Source organism: Homo sapiens, chromosome 17 (genome assembly GCF_000001405.40).
Source record: "Homo sapiens chromosome 17, GRCh38.p14 Primary Assembly".
Taxonomy (NCBI): Eukaryota; Metazoa; Chordata; class Mammalia; order Primates; family Hominidae; genus Homo; species Homo sapiens.
This window is the reverse complement of record NC_000017.11, coordinates 49,352,079-49,359,672: the sequence shown is the minus strand read 5'-3', so window position 1 is coordinate 49,359,672 and position 7,594 is coordinate 49,352,079. Positions and strand designations below refer to the sequence as shown.

Here is a 7,594-nt window from a genome sequence, read left to right as displayed (position 1 = left end):
GTTTAAATTACTCTGCACCCAGCTTTTGCCTTTCGGTCGTATTGCAATCAGGAGATATTTATTCCAGCTTGTGATAGTGTTGGAATGGGTAGTAATTTTAAGCACAGTACCGGCTCTTTAGGAGCTTACGATTCTGCCATTATTTTTCACTTAAAAAATTCTTTGAGACCTTCCTATTCTTTGCATCTGGGGGGTTCTGAGAAGCTAAGGAATTTATGATATTAACTGGCACTTTGGAAGGCAAGGGAGCCTTGGAATCTTGCCTATAGAACCTGTTCCATACACCTGAAGAATAGCATTTATTCTACTAATTATGCAGCATACCCTATAAGTTTGAAAGCATGCTGAAGTTGCAAATATTGCCTTTTTTATTATCTCATAAACATGCTGCCAGTGCTTTATATTACACATTATATTTTTTGCTCATGTCATGCCTGAAGTTTTACTGTCGGAAATCATTTGGCTATTCTAAACCCAAACCATTTCAAAGTTGCAAGTAGGTTACTTTTCTTTGTATATACTTTGTAGTATACTGACAGACCATTAAAATCTCAGAGGACAGTGTGCTTCCTTGATTTAGTATTGCAGAACCTCTTCTAAACCAGTCACTTACCTAGTTAAACACCCACACATCATAGAGCAGCTGATCATATAACATATACGGTTGTGAGAACAGCATTCTCTCCCTGCCAGATTCAGAACTTGGAAGCTGGAAAACAATTGCATAGCAGTGAAACACTTAAGGAGTAGTGGTGCCAGCAGTTCACTCTCATTAATACAAACAGCTTGCTTTAGTTTCTCCAACACTCTTCTTCAGACACCCTTCCCTTAGGAGGTTTCAGATCAGCAGCTCCTACTCAAGGGAAACAGCACCTACTTTCTGCAGCTGTGGTCTCAAGATCTGATTCGTGACACCCAGAACTGTTGCCATTTCTGTTCTAAGTATGGGAAGTAATCTCGTAGTGTGGTAAGAAAATACTTTTCAAGTCTGTAGAAAAAAAAAGTTGATTAGTAATGCTACTGATGTGATTTTGTTTTTGAATGTCTGAAGCCTAACGAAGAGGTAAACTAGAATGTGAACTTTTGAAGTCACCCTTTTCTCAGGGGTTTTAGATAATTTTACCAAAAAAATGTGACTATACTCTTGAATTTCATTTCCCTTGTTATAAAAAAGTCAGCTGAGAGACAACAACAAAAAAAAGTGGATTGTCTTGTATTTTGAACCATAGCCTTTAAAACTTGTTATTCTAAAGGGCATAACTACACCTCCTTGTTGTGAAGTCTTAGGTCTTGTGCTACCATTTTAGGTGTGATATTTTTCTCAGGTGTTGTCATCATTTCTGACAATCAGCACTTGAATTTACTTCGATAGAGGTGAACTGGTGCTGCGTTTAGTGACTTTAGCTGAAGAAGGCTCATGGAGATAGATGATGCTTTGGAGGTAGGCATAACTCGATTTAAAACCCCCGCTCCACTGTTTACTGGTCTTATGATATTGAACAAGTCACTTTGAGCTCTCTGGCCTCAGTTTCCTCAGCAGCAGAATGGAATTTGTTATGAGGATTAGAGATAATGTATGTAAACTCCTAGCAGTTCCTGGCATATGATCATATTAGAGACTCAATACATGTTAGGATATGGAGCATGTTGGAGTAAAACTACAGATCATTTTGTCTTATGACAAGATTTAGAAGTCTGGCACTGCGATCTGCATTTTTTCATTTGTGCAGATTTGGGATGAAAAAATTGCAAATATTTGACTTGGAGCATACCTAAGTCTTGCAGGTGCAATGTGCTTATTGGAACTTTGATTTGTTGCTCTATGGCTGGCGGAACTTGGTGGGGACAGTAAAATCTAGCTCCAAATTCTACAGTGCTACCCATAGGCTGTGCTTGTTTTAAGCCTATTCAGAGCTTATGTAGTGAAAGGGGTATTTTAGGACATTAACGTATCTCAATGGGTTCTGTGTCCAGAGTTGAATCACGTGCAAAGCCTTGTATAAATTTTCATGGTTAATGCAAGCCATAAAGTGCTTTGTAGAATCAGTGGCAATATCAGTTGCTTATTTTAGTTATCTGTTTGTTTATATAGTAGTTATATTTGATTTTTAAAAATACTTATGAACATTTTATCTAATACAATTTCAATTGTCTTCTGAGATTTTTATTATAAACTGCTATTGGGGCTATAGATTTGAGTGCTTTATGAATTTTTACTTTGGCAAGGGAAGGAAAGAAAAGTAGAGTGTCTTTACCTGTCAGATTTTATGAACTCTGCTTTAGGCCTGTAGATTATATATGTAGTTCCTTCTCTTGTTTTTTAGCCAGAAAGGCAGCTTTATGGTAAAGATGACATTATCTTTTTTTTTTTTTTGAGACAGAGTCTCGCTCTGTTGCCCAGGCTGGAGTGCAGTGGCATGATCTCAGCTCACTGCAACCTCCTTCTCCTGGGTTCAAGCAATTCTCCTGCCTCAGCCTCCCAAGTAGCTGGGATTACAGGCATGCACCATTATGCCCAGCTAATTTTTTTGTATTTTTAGTAAAGATGGGGTTTCACCATATTGGTCAGGCTGGTCTTGAACTCCTGATCTTGTGATCTGCCCACGTCAGCCTCCCAAAGTGCTGGGATTACAGGCGTGAGCCACTGTGCCCAGCCTCTTTTTTTTTTTTTTTTTAAAACATAGTTCAAGTGATTGATTACCTTGAAAAGTAAATGCAATTAGGGCCATGTATACAGTTTTATTCCATGCATACAGCTTGTAAAATAGGATTTCTTAGGTTACTATAGAATTAAATTATTCTGTAATTTGTTGCAGGATAGCGTTGTGATAAGTCTGTGAGCCCACAAGAGTTACCTAGAGACTTTTCAGATAAGGTAGACACATCAGTAATACAGTAGGATTTACCTCAGGAGAATCTGCTAATCCTTATTTTCTTTTATTATTGAGCCACCTACAGGCTTGCCCATCAGTGGACTCAGTCACTAGTATTGGATTGCTGATAAAGAGGGATTGAAATATGGTGGTCTTTGACTCACCTTAGATTTTGCAGTATACTTTAAAAAACTTAATTTGGCTAGAATGTATAATAGCCCTAATGCTATGTGAGCCGAGAATGACTAAACAAACAAAATTTAGGTGATTGATTTACTGTCATACGTTTTGCTAAGTGAACTTTTTCTTTGTGAGGAGGGGTTTTTTTTGTTTTTTTTTTGGTTTTGATTTTTTTTTTTTTTTTTTTTTTGCAGACAGAGTCTTGTTCTGTCCCCCAGGCTGAAGTGCAGTGGTGTGATCTCGGCTCATTGCAGCCTCCGCCTCCCGGGTTCAAGCAATTCTCATGCCTCAGCCTCCCCCAAGTAGCTGGGATTACAGGCGCCTGCCACCGTGCCTGGCTAATTTTTGTATTTTTTAGTAGAGACAGGATTTCGCCATGTTAGCCAGGCTGGTCTTGAACTCCTGTCCTTATGATCCACCTGCCTTGGCCTCCCAAAGTGCTGAGATTACAGGTGTGAGCCACTGCGCCCGGCCCTGTAATATCACATTTTAAATGAAATAACGAAGTATTTGGTGGGGGAAAATAATTTCAAACCCTTTTTTAGCACATTCTCAAAGACCTAGCTTGGATTTTCACAATATTAAGAGAATTCCCAAGTCAACCTAAGAGCAAAACCTGTATACTTTTATCCTTAAATAAAGAGGGGCTAAAATGATGGAAAATGTCTTTAAAATGATTATAACACTTGAAGGATTTGTTTTTTAGATACTATTTTTTTTTTAATTGGTGTCTCGCTATGTTGCCCAGGCTTCAGTACAAATGGTGCAATCTCGGCTCACTGCAACCTCCGCCTCCCGGGTTCAGGCAATTCTCCTGCCTTAGCCTCCCAAGTAGCTGGGATTACAGGTGCCCGCCACCATGCCCAGATAATTTTTGTATTTTTAGTAGAGACGGGGTTTCACCATATTGGCCAGGCTGGTCTTGAACTCCTGACCTCGTGATCTGCCCGCCTCGGCCTCCCAAAGTGCTGGGATTACAGGCGTGAGCCACCGCGCCCGGTCACTACTAATTATTTTTATTTTTTAACTTATTTTTTTTATTTGAGACAGGGTCTCACTCTGTCACCCAGGCTGGAGTGCAGTGGTGCCATCTTGGCTCACTGCAGCTTTCACCTCCCAGACTCAAGAGATCATCTCACCTCAGCCTCCTGAGTAGCTGGGACTGCAGGTGCGCACCACCATGCCTGGCTTCTTTTTGTATTTTTTCCCTCACTATGTTGCCTAGGCTGATCTCAAACTCCTGCTGGGCTCAAGTGATTCTCTCCTCTCGGCCTCCCAAAGTGCTGGGAATACAGGCGTGAGCCACCATGCCCAGACAAATTTTTTTCTTTTACTGTCTCATTTCATAATATTGAAATCACAATCCCTCGTGAATTAATTATTAAAAGTTTTTTATCTAATGTAACTTTTATAAGTAACATATATTTAAACTTTTTAGAACCCTGAAGTTCTAAACAAAATAGCAACATGAATAACTTACTTAAAATAGTTCATCTTGTTTTGAATATTTTGGAATTTAGAAGACCTGTCAATCAATTGGTTGATGAAATTGTATGTAATTGTATGTAGCCATGCTCTTTAATACTGCCGATGTGGCCGGGTGCAGTGGCTCATGCCTGTAATCCCAGCACTTTGGGAGGCTGAGGTGGGCAGATCACTTGAAGTCAGAAGTTCGAGACCAGCCTGGCCAACATGGAGAAACCCCATCTCTACTAAAATTACAAAAATTAGCCGGGTGTGGTGGTGCATGCCTGTAATTCCAGCTACTGGGGAGGCTGAGGCATGAGAATCGCTTGAACCTGGGAGGTGGAGGTTGCAGTGAGCCAAGATTGCACCACTGCACTCCAGCCTGGGTGACAGTTGAGACTCCATCTCAAAAAAAAGAAAAAGAAAAAGAAATAAGCTAGGTAACTTTCAGAATAGTAATGGTGTTTTATATATGAAGATTTTAGAATAAGTTTTAGTGGACAGGTTTTTTTTGTTTTTTTGTTTTTTTGTTTTTTTTTTTTGAGGCGGAGTCTTGCTTCCATGCCCAGGCTGAGGTGCAGTGGCGTGATCTCGGCTCACTGCAGCCTCTGCCTACCAGGTTCAAGTGATTCTCCTGCCTTGGCCTCCCGAGTAGCTGGGACTATAGGTGTGAATCTTTTTAAAAATAAGTTATTTATAGTCTGCTGGTGGCTAAAGCCAAATTATCTTGGAAAATAGCTTTTATCTGAAAGGTTATTCTACAAAGAGAAAAAGCCTTTTTATATATTACACAGCAGAGACTTAGCAGTATAATTTTCTTAAAAGTAGATACATTTTTACCTTTTCCCCTCTTTTTCTCTTTTATAATTTTTATTTTTGTGATCTTAATGTGTGTCTTACCCTGCTCTAATAGAATATAATTTGGTTCTTTGAGATATATTTAAAGCTTATATAATATAATAAGAAACTATTGCTAAGTGAGAAAATGTTTAAATTAAAATTTGGAAATGATATGCATAGTAGAAATTATTGAATTTCATATGGCTGATTTCTTCTTGTTAGATTATGGTAAAGAAATAAACACTTCTGCATGTATTATAATTTGTCAGGTATTATAGTTAATATCCAAAAGGTAGTTTGTTCTGCCTTCCAATCTCTCCTCAATCCTTTCATCACCTCTTATGGAAAGTTAGATTTTTTAAGATATTTTTTATTTCTTTAAAGATGATTTATGTTTGTAAGACCAGGTGGTGCACTGTGTACTAATACATGTCCACAGAAGCCAACTCTTGCAGGGCTGGACTGTTCTAAATCTAGAACTGTTGTTTATTTAATTCCCTCTAGCAGTATTTCTCAAACTTTTTGACTATGATCCACAGTAAGAAGCAGTGCATGCGTGCCCACACATATTCACATTCATACCTACACCCACAACTGAAACAAAAACTTTGAGACAGTACTTAATCTTACTGTGAGGCAATCTGTTAGAATTTTCATTCTGTTTTATTTCATTTAGAAAAATTGGGTTGGTATGGGCACTTTGAAAAAAACACTGCCCTATATAGTGCTTAACAAAATGTATTTTCCCAGGAGGTGGAGGTTGTAGTAAGCCGAAATCACATCACTCTAGCCCGGGTGACAGAGCGAGACTCTGTCTCAAAAAAAAAAAATTTTAAAGAATTTGTCTGGGTACAGTGTCTCACACCTGTAATGCCATCACTTCGGGAAGCTGAGGCGGAAGGATCACTTGAGTGTAGGAGTTTGAGACCATCCCAAGCAACATAGTCAGACCTCTCTCTACAAAAAATCAAAAAATTAGCCAGGTGTGGTGTAGTCCCAGCTACTCAGGAGGCTGAGATGGGAGGATCACCTGAGCCTAGGACGTGGAGGCTGCAGTGAGCCAGAATCATGCCACTCCATGCCAGCCTGGTGACAGGGTGAGACCCTGCCCCTCCAGAAAAAAAGAATTTGAAATTTATAGGTACTTCTGGCTTTTAGAAACCAGAGACTGAGTAAATAATTTATTTTTTAAATTAATATACAGTAAAATTGACATTTTGATATTCATACAGTTCTGTGAATATCAATTTGTATAACCACCACCACCACCACCACAGCCAGGACACGGAACAGTTCCATCACTCCAGATAACTCCCTCCCACTGTCCCATTGCACTCATACCCTCCCCTCACCCTGGGCAACTATCGATCTGTTGTCACTGTAGTTTCGTCTTTTGCAGAATGTGACATGGACTCATATAGTATGTAACCTTTAGAGACTGGCTTCTTTTAGTCATAGTAATGCTGCTGAGATTTTTCTAAGTATTTGGGTTTATCAACAGTTTGTTCCTTTTTATTGCCAGGTAATACTCCTTTGTATGGATATACCACAGATCACGTACATTCGTAACCATTTGAGGGACATTTGGCTTCCAGTTTCGGGTGATTATGAACAGAGCCACTGTAAATGTTCATGGCAGGTTTTGGGGTGAATATAAGTTTCATTTCTTGTGGGTAAATACCTAGGAGGGGGATTGCTAGGTCATATAGTATGTATCTTTAACTTATAAGAAATTACCAAATTGTTTCTACATCCCTACTGGAAAGACATAAAAATTCTACTTGTTCCACATTTTTGTCAGCAGCTGATACTGTTAATATTTTTATGTAGGAATACTTCATTTTGAGCCTTATGAGAAGAATCTGGGTACTAGGCTCAGCTCTGCCATCAGCTAGCTGCTGACTTAGAGGAGCCATTTAACTTTTCTGAACCTCTTGTTTCCTCATCTCTCATATAATAGGTTTATTTTGGATATATTATAAGTTCTTTCAGCTCCCAAATTCATTGATTTGGAAAGGTTAGTCCTTGGCAAGAAGACGAGAGATTTGTTTGCTTGTGAAAAAAAAAAAATATATTGACTGATCTTCTCAACTAAAGTACAAACACTATTAGTAGTATATATATTTACAAATGGAATTTATATGAAATAACTTGATATTTTAAATTACAGTTTGTCCATTGGAGTTAAACAGTATTGTGATGGTGTATGTTATATCTGTAAGCTAAAATTATAT

At 38.6% G+C, this 7,594-nt stretch overlaps 1 protein-coding gene across 6 annotated transcripts in view, besides 1 other annotated feature; it reads left to right on the top strand.

The window, feature by feature from the left end:
• The window catches only part of ZNF652 (zinc finger protein 652), a 74,357-nt gene that overhangs the window by 2,801 nt on the left and 63,962 nt on the right, over positions 1 to 7,594 (top strand). The window contains exon 2 of one of the 6 annotated variants that reach the window (XM_047435626.1): positions 6,883 to 7,007. The exons of the other annotated variants lie outside the window; for them this stretch is intronic. The gene's annotated coding sequence lies outside the window, so the exon portion shown is untranslated. The remainder of the gene's footprint in view (positions 1 to 6,882; positions 7,008 to 7,594) is intronic. 6 annotated transcript variants of the gene reach the window in all.
• Positions 790 to 869: an enhancer, noted in NCBI's record as "active region_12359". NCBI's record gives its function as "activates an Ori minimal core promoter by ATAC-STARR-seq in GM12878 lymphoblastoid cells {active_cell/tissue: GM12878}" and the evidence as "EXISTENCE:reporter gene assay evidence [ECO:0000049][PMID:35858748]".